This window comes from Homo sapiens, chromosome 2 (assembly GCF_000001405.40).
Source record: "Homo sapiens chromosome 2, GRCh38.p14 Primary Assembly".
Taxonomy (NCBI): domain Eukaryota; kingdom Metazoa; phylum Chordata; class Mammalia; order Primates; family Hominidae; genus Homo; species Homo sapiens.
In genome coordinates, this window is record NC_000002.12 from 181,512,942 (window position 1) to 181,531,506 (window position 18,565).

Consider the following 18,565-nt stretch of genomic DNA (forward strand, 5'->3'; position numbering starts at 1 on the left):
ATAAATTGGAGGGAGACATCTTCAACTTAACTTCCAGCACATGCTTTTCAGTCCATACTTGAATTCCACTCTGAAGCATTTCACTGTTCACTTCCTCTTTTGAATGTCTTATCCTTTAATTTTCATGATACTATCCTACTCCCATTGTCTTAGTAGTTATTTAGCCCTTTCTTTTCAGCTGTTTTTGATGGATCTTTGGGTTTGGCACCCTAAATGGTCCTCCCTCAGCCCTTTCTCTCACTACCACATTCAACCTTGGTAGTCTTGCTCATAACTGCAATTTCAACTGGCATGCCTACACTGCTGATGCCTAAACCAGTGTCTCTTGAGTTTCACACCCACCTACATATCAAATTCCCTATTAGACATGTCCTTTTGGTTGCCCTATAGTTTCAATCTGTCCAGGCACTATCCAGGAATGACATGGACATTAGAAAGTTACCAAAGCCAGAAACCTAGGGCTCAATCTGCATTCTTTTCTCTTTCTTATTTCTGATATCCAGAATTATTAAGTACTACAATACTACCACCTAGATGTCTTTCTTATCCATCATGCTTTGCTATCTCTACCACTATTACTCCAAACTAGGCACTCACTATCCTACCTAGGTCACTAAGTTCTCCTGCTTTCTAGGATACTGGCCTTTGATTTTGCATTATTAACATACACATGTGATAACAGTGCTTCAGTGGCTCATTTTAGACTTAAAATCTAAACTCCTGGGTGGTATTTTTCACCAATTCCCCAGGAAGTTTTTCATCAATGGCTGAATACTTATGGTGGTTTGGCTGTGCCATGCTCTCCTGAACCTCTGTATCTTCTCACTTCTTCTGCCCATCTACCTGATTAACTTTTATTTATCTTTTAAATCTCACCTGTTTCCTAGGGGAAGCCCCCTGGTCTTCAGCTACTTAAACTTAAGTTCTGTTGTGCCCTTGGTCCTATGGCCCTGTGCTCACGATTATTGAAAGTCTGTCTCCACACTGTCCTGGAAGCTGCTGCAAAGCAGGGTCCTGTCATTTTTGTGTTCCCAATGCCTAACAGTGCCTGGAGTGCTGCAGGTGACTGGAGAGGTTTGCTGAGAATGGAACAAGATCCCAAAAGGGATCAGATTCATAGGTAGAGGAATTAGCCTTAGTTAAGAATCTCCTTATCTTGAGCTAACAAGCTATGAAAATATGTTTGACATTAAGAAATTTCAGTGTGGAAGGAAGGGAAATACAGAGAACTCATGGATGGCTAGGATAAAAAGCAAGTTTATATGTGGTAATTGAAGGCATTGAGGATATGTTTGGGAACTGAAAGGAATGGAAAAAATTCAAAATAGATTAAGGACAGGGAGTCAACTAGGAATAAGTAAAAAGGTTGACAAATAGGGTTGAGTACCCTACTGTGGTAGGATCACATATGGCTGAGAATCAATTATTTTCACTTAGGCAATGTCAGTTTAGCCTTGAGAGTCCATAGTTCAGGGCCAAAAAGCCTTGACCTATTTGATTGATGATTGGATTTTATACTTAAATTACCCAGATTAACTGTAATCCAGAAACAGAGACTACGGACTACTTTGTATCCCAGCATGTAGGGCAGTGCCTTTATTGATTTCTTAGTTGAATAACTTATAATCTTCCCATTTCTGTATTTATTTTCTTCCTAAACCGCTTAATTATCTTGGTGTTTTTACCCTCATGGGCCTTTGATAAGAAGACGAGCTGTGTGGGGGAAATCTTTTCTAAGCTGCAAGTAAAGGAGTGTTTTCATTTTCTTAAATCAGACACTTGTGCTATCACCTTTCATTGCAGTCTCTCTGGCCTATGAGAAAATGAGACATTGACATTTATAAGAAAATATTACTAACTATGCTTCTTTCCTGAATAATGAAAATGCATCTTAATGAATTATTTTTCTTTGTTACATGTTTTCTCACAACAAAATATCTGCTTTGCATTTTTAATTTAGAGTGATAATATTTCTTGCAGCCTATCAAACCCATTATGATTTTTAAATGGCATAATGATTTTAAATGAAGTATAAGGCTGTGTTTCTTAAGGTGTTGTCTCTGAGCCACCTTTATGAGAATCACCTGGATGCTTGAAAGAAATGCAGATTCCTAGGCCCCAGACCATCCACGTCAGAACTAAAGGGGACCAGGCCACAGATCTTCACAATTAATAGAGCTCCAAGTTCTTATCACACTGAAACCTAAGAACCAATGTTATGGTGGTGAAGAGCTTCCAGATTTGAAGTCAATCTGACCTGGTTCAAATCCCATATCTACTGTATTACTAGTGACCTTTTCAGAGAAGACTTTTAACTTCTCTAGACCTCTTTCCTCATTGCTAAGTGGGTAAAAATAGTACCGACTCATTAAGGTTGTCTTAAAGGGTAATAATGCAGGCCAAGTGCCTAGTGCAAAGCCTGATTTCCATGAAGACTCAATAAAAGTCATTACTATTTCTATTTTTGAAATATTATGGTTGGAATTTCTATAGATAAGCTTTTTTAGTTTGGCCATAAAATGAAACATTGCCAATTCTATACATAATTCTGCATATAAGCTTTATATCCTGAAAATATAGCTGCTGTGACTGGCTCAGTAGTTGCAGTCTTACAAGGTTTGAAGTGGCATGAATGTCCATATAAAGTAGTAGGCGCCATATTTTTTGTATCAACTAAGAAAGTTACAGGCTATGTATTTCTATTAGATAAATGATTATTTGAGGAACTTTCAAATGAGAGCCCTTCTAATTAATTTCTTAGACTCACAGTGAAAGGTTCTGACAAAGTGCTTTGTGTTTTGGTAAATTATACTCTATCAGACAGAAATATGTCTCTCCCACAGAGGTGTCCTCTCTCCTTTCTCAGAAACAGTAGGCGAATTGTGACCATATGTTCCATACATTCTCCCAGCTATAACTCTGCTGGCACTAATGGTATTTATGTGCCCCAGAGCTATAAACCTGTTTTAGGTAAATGTATTTACTCAGTAAAGAACATGAGTTTCTGAAGACTGCAATAATAAACTGTCAACAGTACGCTAAACAGTGCTTATCCACTCTCTCTCATCTCTTAAGTTGAGGCTTCCTCCTGTATGTCTAAATGCTTAGGACAATAAACTGCATTTATAAAGGACTTGCAGTGCAAAATAAAGATGAACCAACACGACTTCAAGATTACAAATATAATAGAAGGTATTAGCCATCACATAGGGAGTTTAAAATCAAATCCTTGAAACTCATGTAAATGATACCGCAATACATTTCTGCACCTCAGTTGTGCTTCCAGAATGAGTGATGTAAGCTTTCCCTGAACAATTGCTTCTGTATCTGCTAGGAATACTTTTAATTGCAAGTTTTAGAGTAATTAACTAATAGTGACTTAAACAATAAAGATATTATTTCGCATAATAAGCAGTCTTGAGGAAGGATGTTCACAGGTTTGGTGAACAGCTACCAAAGACTAGACATTGATGGTTATCTTTCCAGCTCTCTCAGCTTTTCCTCATGATCACAGTATAGCCAAGCAGCATCAAGCTTCCAAGCAAGAGAAAAGGGAAAAGAGCAAAAGTGCTTGGTCATCTTTAAGTTGCCCTTCCAGGAAGGGCAGTGCCTCATTTGATGTATTCTGATTAACCAGACGTGTGTTACCTGTTTATCCCTGATTCTGTTATGGTTGAAGGAGAATGGAGTCGTCATGATCACAGTAAATTGATCCTGAATCAATTATTTTGTTATTGTGATACATTCTCTGGAGTTGAACCTAGAGGTCTGTCTTCTGAAATATTAAGGGAATGCTGCCTGTCACCTGAATAATCTAGGGCTCTGTTGGCAGCTAAGAAGGGAAATCACTGTTGGCTAGACAATGAGCAAGGAGCAACATCTGCCACCATGCTGTTAATTCCCGAAAGAGCTAGTGTGATGAAATTGTCCATTTTTAAAATGGAAATAGTACGAATATTTGGCTCACTGACAGCATAAAGTTTTGGGAGAATGAATTATATGCTTTATAAACTAAGACATGCTAATTACTGGTTCAATCTTCCAATTTAAGTTTTTCTGCTGTTCTTCCCTTAACCTCAGTGAGTTTGCCTGTCTTTAATAAAATCTTCCTAAATGTCAGGTAACCTGTCTATTCCAACAGGCAAGAATTTTTCAGTATTGTCTTTTTCCCTGAAGTCAGTAGTAAAGGAAAAAAAGATAAAAATTGTACTTAGGCCTGTAGACTACTTGCTGCAGGTTACTCTTTTGTCAAATAAATGAGTCATGTATCTTGACATAGTGAAGTATGGTATCAGTTTACATTATATTTTATTCTAGCATCTTGATTAAAAACAAGTTAGCTATCAAGCCCTAATTCATTTTAGGGAGACAGGGTGAATTCATTATACTAAGACTTGGGGAGCATTTCTTGCAAAATAAAGCTATATTATTCACTCAGAAAAAAACATAGAGCCTGGTGCTGCGGTACATCATTTTTCTATTTTTCCTCTGTCACTTATTAAGTTATGATTCTGTATGTACACAGTACCTTGATTTGTTTAAGTTACATGGATTCTGTGCTGCTTTGTAAATTTCAAGTCTGCATTATGCATGTTTTAATGAAGAATGAACTATGAGTCCCAGGGACAGCTCTGGTTCAGTCTTGTCGCACTTCCAGATGTGCACCTGGTTCTTTATTATGTCTCACATAGGAAGCTGGTAGGTATCTTTCTGAGAGCATCTTGTTAATGAATCAATTTACAGTAAGATGTATATTTAGGGGAAAGAAAGTAGAATTGTAATTATGGTAATGGGGCAAAACAGCTTAAAAATGGAAAATAAACCAGGAGTCTAGCTGCTGAAATGTGAACATTGTGTTTCTCTTTAATTTGCTGTTGTCTTGGAACCTAGCTGTTTATGCAGTGCTTTCACCTTCTGTTGCTTGTCTAAGTGCCAACTTCTTTCCCAAAGGTGTTCAGTGACTAATGCTTTGGTTACAAGCCAGAATATTTTATAAATGTCTATTTCTGGGCAGCTCTTCTACAAGTCTTAATTAAACTTTAATGTCAAGCTGAAGTTTACTTTTAGAACCTCTTAGGTTGCTTTAGTCCTAACATGATTATAGAGTTTGGGGTGGGGGGGCAGGATGTGGGACAGCCATGTTCCCACACACTTCCTCTCTCCCATTTAACAGTGCCACCAAGCAGATTCATACTACTTAACCCCAAGGTTTACAACACAGGCACGAGTAAATCACAGCCATTCCCTAAAATGTTGTGGTAGCACACTGTCACTCAGACTCCTCCACCCTGCAGTGATACCCAGGGTTTGGAATTACTGCTTTGTTAGTTATTACACATTCTTCCAGCATATCCAACTGCTCAAATCAGGGATCCCAATGTAGAGATGATGCATGTGGAAGTAGCATTCTTTCCTTTCTTCTCCATGTCTGGAGGAGTTATGAGGACTGGGGGATCATTTTCTCTAATTCTCATATGGCTTATTGGGGTAAAGAACTGCATCCTATGCCATCTGAAATAATGAAGCTTCTATTATAGTCAGAATAGTACAAAATAGATTTCAATTAAATATGGTAATATGTTATATGTTTATTTTGTAATTAATTTACTCATCAATTGGATTGCTCTGTAGCAAGAGCCTGCATTTTTTTCTGTGAAGGGACAGATAGTACATATTTGAGTTTTTGTGGGACAGAGATCTCTGTCCCAACTACTCAACTCTGTCACTGCAGTGCAAAAGCATGTCTGTGTTCTCATAGAGCTTTATTTACTAAAGTAGGCAGACATGTGAATTTGGCCTTCAGGGAGTAGTTTACAGACCTCTACTCTATGATATGCTTGCTTTTTATATGGAAATTCTAAAGTATATATATTTTTATTAATTAAAAATAGTGCCTGATAGTATATTTTGTTTTTTAAACATAGTTTGTCAATATAACTTAGGCTGGTTGTGAAAGTAAGCCAAGATTCAAAGATTTTTAAGAAATTAATCCTCAGTTAAAAAATTATAAGAATCTCTCCTAGATAGAAACAAAGATAGATATAAATATGTATCTAGCCTACAGAATTACGTGTGTATGTTGACCAAAAAACTATAATAGTTCCAAAAATGGAAATTGTCAAAAGTCCCATGGATAATTGAAAGGATAAATAAGATGTGGCATATTCATAAAATGGACTATATACACCAATGATAAGAAACATTTTACAACTACATGTACCAATATGTTAATCTCACAAACAAAATTTTGAATAAAAGCCATGCAAAAGAACAGATACTCAAAGATTACATTACATTTATATAAAATACAAAACCGAACAAAACCAAGTTATATTATTAAAAATCAAGGAGGGTGAGGACAATAACTGGAAGAAAAAGCCCCAGAGGGTTTTTCAGTGGTGCTGCTAATATTTATTTCCTTGAGCTAGGTGCTTAACGCATGTATTCATAAAAAATATTGAGCTGTACAATCAGGATATGTGCATTTTTCTATGCATGTATTATACTCTGATAAGTTTAAAATAGAAAAAAAGAGGAAGAATTTTCTAGCATTAAGTGAAGTGTCCATTTTCTTAGAAGTTACATTAGAGTTATAAAAGTGGGGGGAAATATCCAAAATTATTTTATTTGCATATTCCGAGGTTCATAAGAATAACTCTCAAAAACCGTACCACATTTCCAGTTTGGATTTTGCCATGGTCATATGATGCCATTAATTCATAGGTCATTTCAGTAGGTTTATCACCACCAAAACATTAGGTTGTCTGGATGGGGGTACAGATCGCAATGTGGTAATGCTAGATATTTACTTTCTTAGTGAGACATTTGGAATTTGTATAGCATCACAGAACAGATAAACACGGTTTAAGGCTATAACGTGACAGTATTTATGCTGATACTTTCATAGACTTCTAACAGTCAATAACTTATCCAATAATTTCCCCAATTTTTTTCTGACATGTTGCTTGGACACCACCGAACCCTTCTTTACATTTAATACAGACATGTACTTACCTGCTTATATTTTTTGAAGACTGTGTTGTTAGGCTCTGAGAAAGCATGTGAATCACGATCCAGCATCTTCTCCCCAAGGCAAATTAGTCTAGTAGTGAGAGGAACCAGAGACTTGACATTGTGAAAATACTGCATTTTTATAGAGGTGCCCCGTGTGCTTTGAGAGAGGGAGAAGCTGCCACCTTACGCTGTTAGGGGAGAGCAATGCAGGGTGAAGGTGGTTAACAGTGAGTTTTGGCTGGAAGAACAACTGAGAATTATTGACGTCCAAGATAAATCTTGAAGAATAAGTACACGTCAGATGCATGAAGAGGAGATGTTGACATCAGAGTGCTAGTTTGAAGGAAGACGCAAAACATCCTGGTGTATTAGATGCCTGTTTATAGAAAAATATGACTGAAACAATGAATTGTGCAGTGAAAGTGAAGCAGGGGCCAACTCTGGAGGGCCTCTGTGTCATGCTAAGGAGTTGGAACTCTTATCTTGAAGGCAATGTATGGTTCTCAACAGACACCATTATCTAGTTTGCTTTCTTGAAAATGACCCTCTGGCAGTGTGAAGACTGGATTAAAGGAGAGGAGAAGGACTTGAGACAGATAAATCAATTAGAAACTCAATCCAAGTGAATTTAGGTTCAATCATGACATTTTCAGACTTAAAATTTCTTGAGGCAGCCAATTTAACCATAGTAGTAGAGAAAGAACAAGTATCATGTCTTTACTACCTCAGGCAAAAAGTGGTTTCCCAGAGCCCTCTATTCACAACACTTGCCCGTTTGTGTATCTTTTTTACATTTATTTACACATCTGTCCTTTATTATATCAGCTCTAGGAAGGAGTGAAGTGTGTTGGTATTTGGGAACGATGAACTTAGTGCCTGATTTATTGTACAGAAACTTTCAATTCATTCATGAATCTTCAAGTAATAATTAAAAGCAGAAATTTTGAAACATGTTCTTAAACTCTGTCCTTACATACTCTGTCTTTAATCAATTCACAAAAACAACTAAATTCCTACTGTATCTTTAGTATTTCCATAAATAGTTTATTCAAACACTAATCTTCTCTACAAATGTTGATTTGAATGACACAATTTAAACATTATTGAAGAAACTTTCTAAATTCTGCAGTGCTAGGTGGATATTTATCTTTTTTATCTATCCTCACCTGATATTTTGCTTTGGGTAAATGCTTCTCTACTTTTAACTAATTTTTCTGAATGTTAAATTACTAGATATCTAAGAACTTCTGTTCTTAGGGGAAAGTTTATAAAATGACATACTGTATTGGAAAGTTTTCCTTAGCACATAGCTGTTCTAACCCTCTCACTGGGAAAAAGAATGAACTGTAGAAATTTGCAATTGTTTCAAGACTTCAGAACATTCTAGCTGTGGCCTTTGAATAAGTTCCTTATGTCTCAAATACTTCATATTTAAAATATTTTAAGGACTTTATACAGTATACATAACCCAGATCTTCAGTGAATGGTAGGTAGTATGGAATAGGATGACTGAGGCTTAAAAATGCTAAATTACTTCCCCACCAGAAAGAACTGCTGGCAGTGCCAGGACTTGAACTCGTGCATATATATGGATTTACAGCAATCTATACTTTGCAATACACAGGAGGATGAAGCATTTCTCCAGTTCTGTTTTTAAATTTGGCCTAGTTACTGGTGGAGGTGACCAGCTGCTTCACAATTTAATTCTAGTCCAACAGATTTTAGTGCCACGCACTTGTGGGTGGACATAGTAGTTCTTCCTCATGCCTTGCTCACTTCTACCAAGTATTCCTTCTAGTCTTCTTTTCTACCAGTTCCTTCCATTTTCCTCCCTCGGTTCAGGCAGCAGCTAGTTCAATGTCTATTTTAGGCTTGCAAGAAAGAAAAGAAAAACTGCTTTGCCTTTAGAAAATGTTACGAAATAATCAGGAAAATGTTAAAATTATAGAAGCAAGAGGTTATGCAGAAAAGAAATGAGAAAAGATACGAGTTTAATTATAGCTCATTAAAGTTTCCTTGGGTAATAGGTGACTGAATTTATAAAAAACATGACAAAGAGTTCTTCTTAATATGGTTTTACATCTGCTTGCATAGGGTCAATCCCATGATTGTTTTTCCAAGAAAATTAGTATTTTATGTTCAGCATAAATTATATACATATATCCTTGTATGCATATAAGAGAGAGGGATTTTTATTTCCTAAACAAGAACTAAATAATATTACTTAATTTTTAGGCCCCATGAAAATAAAACATATCTTGCTGTTGGGAGTATGAAGACATTGATGTTGAATGTGTCCTTGTTTAATGCTGGAGATGATGCATATGAAACGACTCTACATGTCAAACTACCCGTGGGTCTTTATTTCATTAAGATTTTAGAGCTGGTAAGTACTGTAAACCACAATAGCATGATACTACTTGGTATTTTACTTAATTTTTTAAAAGTAAATGGTAGAATTCACTTCACTGATTTGGGGTATAAGTCTTAATATTTAGGCTCCTAGTTATTTTCAGACTTACTCTGTGCCCCTGCTCAGAATGGCAAGTTCTTGGGTCTTAAGTCCAAAGGCATCAGCCTCCTGTTTTCCAGTACTAGGAGTAGGAGGAAGCTGTTTGGGTGCCTTTACATTCTCACTGCCGTAGCCAGCACACGTCTGATGTTGGAACAGTATCCCCTTGATTGTGGTCCTTGCACAAGTAACATTGATCCTCCATCCTGGACTCCAGAGTTATAGTTCTTTATTTTAAGGTGACACTCAGACAATTAATAGAATTTTCTCTATTCTTTATCAAATTCGCTCATCTTTTGTCCAGGGACCACACCTTCATACCAATAGTGACCTTTGACCTCTCACGAATATCTGTTACCTTCTTTCTCTAGTGTTTGCGCTACTTGCAAAAGTAACAGTGGAAACTCAGATATTCACGGACAGTATTTTTAAAGCATTTTATACTTATTGCAATTATAACCTCATTACACCTATTGAGATTATAGCTATTTTGATTAAATACCTTAAACACATTCTCACATACCAGACAGAAGAGGACCATTAAAATATGAACCTTATGGATTCCTTGCCTCATGATTTTTCAAGGAATTCAGACCCTGGATTAAATAGGGAATATATCAAGATAAATGAAAGCTACAAGTCCAGAATTTTTTTTTTGTGGAGAATCTGTTTGAATACTAGAGTACACACATATATGTATATACACACACACATACACATACACATATATATACACACACATATATACACACATATATACATACATATATATACACATACATATATACACACATGCACACATATTTATATCATATGTCTATTTATCTCAAACATATAAATAGAAAATAGTTTTCCTAGAAAAGCAAATACTTCTGGGATGATATTCTTTTCAATAACCATCCTTAAACATATGTTACAAACTTTTTATTTCCTTCCTGTCCAAAACAGTTGTTTCATTTTTCCCATTAGGAAGAGAAGCAAATAAACTGTGAAGTCACAGATAACTCTGGCGTGGTACAACTTGACTGCAGTATTGGCTATATATATGTAGATCATCTCTCAAGGGTAAGTGTTTCATATTTATGGCTTTTGTTCACTATCATGAATATTTTTTTCTATTCTTCCCTATCTTTAGGTTGCATAGAAAATATTATAAATATTTTAGCTTGGGGTAGGTAGCTGAGTGATGAAATAAAACTGGTTCTTGAAATCTTTGAGCTTTGTGTTTATATTCTTGGCAATGTTTGCTGTTTTAAAGGGGGTGGCATGTTTACATCGAAATGGGCATGTGCATGTGTCAATCAGAATTCTGCTCCCCCTACACACCCTTCCCGAAAACCCCCACCCCCACCGCAGGTGGTCCTGTCTGCCAGGCATGTTACCTCTGCTATACAAAAAGGTGTTTTTGGCAAGAGTCTCCACTCAAGTTGTGAAAGCATTTCTAATTTTGTCTAGACTTGCCTGCGTTCACATTCAGAGACGTCTTTGTCTCTGAATGTTACGTGTGGATATGTGTGTACTTTAAAATAGCCACAAACCCAACAACTTCCCTGAATCTTATTGCCAAGGGAGGAGTAGCTGATGCCTTTACAATGGTTCAATTCTACATTCCATAGAACATAAACTTTTAAGAAAAAAATTCAGATTATAAAAAATGTACTTAAGATTTTTTTTAATGGGCTTTCCTGGTCTGTGTTTTACAGATAGATATTAGCTTTCTCCTGGATGTGAGCTCACTCAGCAGAGCGGAAGAGGACCTCAGTATCACAGTGCATGCTACCTGGTATAATTTATTGTTAATAAAATGAACTAGAAATATACCCCCATATTCTGAGGGGGGGGAATTAGGAGAACCGTAAAACTGTGTTCCATTAATTGTAAGAGAAAACTTCTCTTACGTGGTATGCTTTTAAAAGAACCAAACAACATAGTTAAATGGGAGTTACTGGCAATGTTTTAGCTCTTGAGCTATGTTAAGTATTTATTAGATTAGATTAGAGTAGACATGATGTGTCACGAATCAAACTGTGTATTTGAAATCAAAAACAGAATAAACAGTTTACAAGTAATAACTCTACAAGATTTAAAAGTGAGGGTAATGACTTCCATAGATATGTCTCCTAGAGTAAATAGGAAATCGTTAATGACTATTTCATGAGTGAAGTTTCAATATATTTTTTAAAATTCAGAATAAACGTCAAGATGGACTTCATTTTACCTAACACAACAACTTGGTCACCCTCTCATCCTAAAAATCTCTATAAGTAAAACTGATTATAAAGATACGTTAAGGCAGTACATGACTTGCTATACAGTTTAAAAAATTATATGATTGATGTGCTTTCTTTGATCATTAAGTCTTGCAAAAATACTTCTTCAACCTAAAGAGAGTAATAGATTTGTTTCTAAACTACCTATTTATTCTGGTTTTTGTACCACCTAGAACATAAATGTTAAAAAATCTTTTAATCTAATAAATGTAACTATTTGTTAAAAAAAAAAAAATTCCTCTATCTAGCATTAGAAGCAAATGATAACAGTTTAAATAATGAGAGAAATTTTCTGCCAACCTTGTCCTAAAAAATTTTTACTACCATATCTACTTTTATCCCCACTCCTCAAAAAGCATTTAAGCAAACCTCTGAGTATATTAGGTATACAGGGTATGTAATTAGTTCTCTCTGAAGATTTTTCTGCTTGGTGAATTCTAACAGGGTGTTTTCTGTTTGTATAGTGAAAATGAAGAGGAAATGGACAATCTAAAGCACAGCAGAGTGACTGTAGCAATACCTTTAAAATATGAGGTTAAGCTGACTGTTCATGGGTAAGTAGACATAAAGGCTTCCTTTCAAATTTAGAGCTGATTTACAGTTTCCTTGCTTCTTACATTAATGAAAAAACTGTATTCTAGAATTTTTTTAAAATAAAAAGGATACTCTATCTTTTAATAATTACCTCATTGTTATAGTCCCTTACTTAGCTGTCCATTATAATAATCCACTCTATAATCATCACTGATACTACATCAAACTAGTACCCAGCTGGAGGAGATTTCTTACTGTGAGAGCCCCAACAAGCTAGCAAGGCCACACTGAGCCTTTCAGCTGTGCACTGTGTAATCCTAATCTGGAATTAGGCAGTATGCAGTCTGCATAATCATACTTAATGCCCATGTCAAGTGTGAAGTTCAGAGAAGTGTGAACTTAGTCAAATCACTATTCTGCAGACCCGTATCTACACATGTGGCAAATGGATTGAGATGTGAGAGATCTGGCTGCAAGGTGTCCCTTGTCCACTTTTTATACCTATGGGATCACCAGATTCCTCAACCACAGTATCAGAATTCATTGCTTCCTCATGATTTTAATGATTGAGTGGATCCCCCTCTCATTCAAGAAGGAGATGTGTGGAGAAAGAATAAAAGGGGGCTTACGGAAACCTTCAGTAATTCCACTAGAACTTATTCATGGTGTTAGTCCTTAAAACTACATTTTTATGCAGTAGAAGATATGAGTTACAGAACAAATAGACAGATGAGCCTTTCCTGTTGCTCTAAATCTAAACCATCCCGCAGTCATCTTATCCACTTAGAAAGGTGATATACAGTCATGTAAATGTAAAATGTCAGTGTCTGATGGAATTGAGTATCAAGTTTGAGATAAAGCAAACGGGTGAAAAAAGGCCATTCACAGGAGAGTAAGACCTAGAGAATCACGAGTAAGCAAATAAAAAGTTCATTGCGTGTTTCCTGGTTTTCAGTGTTTATCTTGCCACTCCTCCTGGCTTATGATGAGTGTCTTCCTATTTTTCTGTTATTCACATCTCATTATTTTGAACAAGGTATGTTCACCTGTTAAACTGCCTAAATCTATGCTGGTTACTTTCCTGTTTCATGAGTTTCTAATTTGGTATTACCTAATATTAGCTGCCAAATGTGAGCACCTTATGGAGTAGAGATCTCCCTAGAAACATATTTCTTAGAGTTTATTGCAGATAAAAATGTCAAATCACAGGCCTTTAAAAGAGAGTGACAGCCTTGTATTGTAACAAAAAATTTATCATACTTAATAATGTTAGACTTGTTCCCCAGATTTGGGGTTCATTATAAGTAGCCAGCAGGGATCATGAGATGGGAAGAAATAATTCAAAAATGGGTAACATAAATTGAGGTATGAGAACCTTAGGAAAAAACTAAGAAGTTATCCCACATTACATTTGCCAAATTTACATGAATCACTTAAGGGCTGAAAGAGAAGGAATGGTCAGTAGAATGAAAAAGGTGTAGTGTCATGGAAAGCAAGAAAAGAATATCGGTGAGGGACAGATATTGTCACCCAGGTCAGAGCACATGGCCTTTTTTTTTTTTTTTTTTTTTTTTTTTTTTTTAAGAGTCTCGCTCTATTGCCCATGCTGGAGGGCAGCGGTGTGACCTCAGCTCACTGCAACCTCTGCTTCTCGGGTTCAAGCGATTCTCCTGCCTCAGCCTCCCGAGTAGCTGGTACTACAGGCACACGCCACCACGCCCAGCTAATTTTTTTTTGTATTTTTAGTAGAGATTGGGTTTCACCACGTTGGCCAGGCTGCCCTCAAACTCCTGACCTCAGGTGATGCGCCCTCCTCGGCCTCCCAAATTGCTGGGATTACAGGCATGAGCCACTGCTCCCGGCCCTAATTTAATTTCTTTTTAAATAAAATGTATATCTGACCACAAAACCAAAAGTATTCCATGGTGACTTGTAAATATGCTATAATCCAGACTATAGAAAAAGACTCTTTATAATACGTCATCGAATAAGACAGTTAATTAAATTTGAATTTGTTTTTACCAGGTTTGTAAACCCAACTTCATTTGTGTATGGATCAAATGATGAAAATGAGCCTGAAACGTGCATGGTGGAGAAAATGAACTTAACTTTCCATGTAAGAAAAGTTAATTGTGTTAATATTTGTAACAACCTAAAAGGATGTCACTGATGCATTGCTCCAAGGGACATTGTACACCTATGACGTCCTTCAGCCTCTGCAGACCACAGCTGGCTGGAATGGGGCAGCAGCAGTGGTACTCCTGCCTCTCAGACCCCTGCTGCTTTCCTTCCACTTGTCTTGTCCCTGATATTCAAGCCCATATTTCCTTACAGGACAGGTGAGAAAGAGCATGCAGGAACAGAGATAATGCCTGAAACAGGCAAAGTTATGGGATGAGCTGAATTTGCTAGAGACACATACAGAAAACAGGACAGGCCAAGGGAAGGCATCTTTGGGTGCAAATCAGTGAAATTTCTTCTTGGTTCAAGCGTATAAAAACCTCAGCACTACAAAGTAAAGGAGGCTCTTACCTCCCATCTCCATTTAAGATCACGTTGGTTAGCCTTTCAAGCCATAAGTTTATGACCTGTGACAAGTGCTTTATCAATTATTAAATAACCTTTTAAAGTAAAGAGTACTATCGTAATTCAGAAGTATTAGGAGACTGATGTAAACCTAAGTTTTTAAAAACATTTTTTGCTGTCAAACTGATATTTTTATTGTATCAAAGATGTTGGTGATTAGTAAATATAATTTCCAAAAAAAAATTCTTTGAACCAAAAGCACTGTCCAAGCATTCTTATAGAATAATCTATATTTGTGAGTAAATCTTGGATTAGGTATAATATTTTGTAAGACAATGCTTTTCAAAATGTGTATTAGAATCACTTGGGGTACCTATCCAGAATGCAAATTCCTTGGCTTTGCCCCAAATCTGTGGAAAAAGAATGACCTTGAAATCCTGTTGATTCTATGTATACTCCAATTTTTGTTACACTAGTTGATACTAATGTTGAAAAATTTTAGTTCTCCACTTTGAAGTCCCAAGAAATGCTCTTTAAAACCCAATGGGAGTTTGTGCTTTGATAAACTAAAACAGAAACCAAACCGGACTCTAGAATGTTTATTTATTAATTTACAATTAATAGTTAAAAAGTATTTTCTACTAAATGTATAATGTAGTGACTGGCACTGGAGAAACTTGCAGTATATAGGATTTCTGTGTCTAGTCAACTATGTAGATATTCTTAGAGGTTTAATTGTTGTTAGGCAAACAGATGTTTGTGATTTAGATATTTAATGGCATCCAGAAGACCTTGTCTGTAGTATTGGGCACTGCTAGGTATCTGTTGCTGACATTTCCTGCTGCAACTGCCCTGTGCTTTTATGGATTAGCAATTACCACCTGTTCCCAATTTGGAGACACTTTCTTCATCTATGTCACATGCATTCATAAAATGACTGCAGGTCTGCAAGTCATCTTTTTTAATCGAGGTATTGGGATGCATCTCTTTCTGACTTACTGTATTGGTTTTACAGTTAAGCTGCCAGTTCAGTAGGCTATATTTTGGCCCCATTTCCCTTTTCAGGAATCTTCAATCCCCAAATTTATCATCCTCTTATGCATTTTTTGACAAGTATTGTTAAAAACCTTTTGTGCTTTCTCAAAACCCAACAACATACTTTTCTTCTGAATGCATCAGCATATAGATCCTGAATAAAAATACATTTTTATTCACTTTCTCCTGCTGATTATCCCCTTAGCACAGAGTGCTTTTGCGATAACATCATAGGATTTAGAATTACAATACCTGAGTTTTGGTCATAACTCTTGTCATTTTTTAACTTTTATCTTGGGAACACTAAGAACACCTGTTAGCATTTCCCTTAGCTGGTGAATACCAAAATGTTGGCCTACCTCATGAGAACCAAATGATATTTTTAAAATATGTAATGTAACATACAAATATATATTGTTTATGTCTCCTAAGACTGTTTCTCCAATAAACCATCAGCCTGTACTTTTTGTTTTCAACAATACCAAAACTAGAAGGTTAGAAACAATGACTCATTTGAAATTATTAGCAAACTTTAAAAATTCTGACTATGGATATCCTGTCTCCCTTTGTTATGCAGCTGCCAACCATAAACCTCCACCACTATAAATGTTGCATGGAATATACGGGATCACCTAAAAGCTCACTGATATCTGTACTTACATTTATAGAAAACATTTAATTTGTTAAAAAATTTTTCCTTCTTATCAGGTTATCAACACTGGCAATAGTATGGCTCCCAATGTTAGTGTGGAAATAATGGTACCAAATTCTTTTAGCCCCCAAACTGATAAGCTGTTCAACATTTTGGATGTCCAGGTAAAAATGTATTTCTTCCATCTAACCTTTATTGTGTGTCTTAAATACTAAAATAAATGCAAACCAATCCTTTATTCGAGTAATGATGTGAAAATGGATAATTGTTAACTTACTTCAGTCACACTCTAAGCTATGAATTCACCATGCATTTATTGAGTTATGCTTTGAATATTATACATTTCTTTAGAACTATAGAGTTACAGTGCAACTTTTACATTTGATTTAAATAACAGAACTATATTCTACCATCTCCATTGAATAATTATTTTAAGATACATTGTTGTGTGATATGGACCTATAGAGGTAACTTCTATTAGTAGAATTCTTCATAAAACTTGAAACTACTGTGCAAATATGAGGATTATAGCCTTTTTTTAAGGAAGCACTATTCAAACCACTTCTTAAGAACCGATATTCTTGCACTGATGGTTCCATCAGAATTGTTTTGAGCTTAACAGGTTGAAGACAAAAGTCAACAAATCTACTAAATAGGTTTGAGGTCTGATTTTTAAAAATCCTATTTAAATTCCAGATTTAGAGAGAAGAATATGGTGTTATATTGTTTCGCCTATAAAGGCAAAGAAATATTTAATGTCATGCTAATGTTCCAATATCATTTTTCACATTTCTGCAAGGTTAAGGCCATTTTATCAGCTTAGAACCTATATCCAACCTGCTGTAATTTGGCTGGGTTTTTGTGTTTCTGCCACAGACATTTAATCACTCCCAAATCTGTCAAAAAAATTTCTACAATTTCAGAGGTACTTGATATATTTTAGCAAAGATAAGCTACTGGAACTTTTAAAACCAGGTTGCTTTTTGCTGTTTTTTCCAGTGTTGAAAGATAAGATTTCTCTTGCTTTCTGTCTTCATAGACTACTACTGGAGAATGCCACTTTGAAAATTATCAAAGAGTGTGTGCATTAGAGCAGCAAAAGAGTGCAATGCAGACCTTGAAAGGCATAGTCCGGTTCTTGTCCAAGACTGATAAGAGGCTATTGGTAAGTTTCAGTTTTTCAGGTTGTAGTTCCTGCTTTCCAACAGAGAAGTGAGACACTTAAAATCAAGTCAATGGGTTTGAGCTGTCACTTCAATAATAAGAGAGAAGACAAGTTTAGGTAGTATTCTTGCGTGGAAGGAACAAGCATGGTTGGAAAGTTGAGATAGACCCAGGGTCTATCCCATATATAAACATGTTGGCCGGGTGTGATGGCTCACGCCTGTAATCCCAGCACTTTGGGAGGCCGAGGTGGGCAGATCACAAGGTCAGGAGTTCGAGACCAGCCTGGCCAACAGAGTGAAACCCCGTCTCTACTAAAAATACAAAAATTAGACAGGTGCCTGTAATCCCAGCTACTCAGGAGGCTGAGGCAGGAGAATTGCTTGAATCCGGGAGGTGGAGGTTGCAGTGAGCCGAGATCACGCCACTGCACTCCAGCCTGGGTGACAGAGCAAGACTCCATCTCAAAAAGAAAAAAAAAAATGTTATACAGTTTCATTTTTTTATCTAACAAATGCCCACTATTTGCCAACAAGACATTGTTCCAGACCCTTCAGGACACCAAGAGGTTGTCTTCACCTGGGCAGCCTTTGTGGCATGGGTTAATTTTCATTCTTTTCAGCTTAGTGAATGTATGAAAAGAAACTGGAGAAGCATTCATCACCTTGAAATGATCCACGTTTTACAACAAACAAAGAATACGTAACTTAGCAAGACTCTGATTAGGAACATTTTTTAAAAATTCTGTCCCAGAAGATTATGTTAATACAAATAATAAGAACATATGCTGCAGTTTAAATACTTTATTATAATTTAGAAAACAAACATTCATGTCTTGTTTAAAGGTAATTTAAATGC

The 18,565-nt window shown here is 36.2% G+C and overlaps 1 protein-coding gene across 1 annotated transcript in view; it reads left to right on the top strand.

Annotated features, from left to right (window-relative positions):
- The window catches only part of ITGA4 (integrin subunit alpha 4), an 81,736-nt gene that overhangs the window by 55,737 nt on the left and 7,434 nt on the right, over positions 1-18,565 (top strand). Inside the window, exons 18-24 of the mRNA NM_000885.6 lie at positions 9,250-9,400; positions 10,496-10,591; positions 11,230-11,309; positions 12,261-12,350; positions 14,356-14,446; positions 16,600-16,707; positions 17,583-17,708. Of these exons, the coding sequence (NP_000876.3) occupies positions 9,250-9,400; positions 10,496-10,591; positions 11,230-11,309; positions 12,261-12,350; positions 14,356-14,446; positions 16,600-16,707; positions 17,583-17,708 (742 nt within the window). The remainder of the gene's footprint in view (positions 1-9,249; positions 9,401-10,495; positions 10,592-11,229; positions 11,310-12,260; positions 12,351-14,355; positions 14,447-16,599; positions 16,708-17,582; positions 17,709-18,565) is intronic.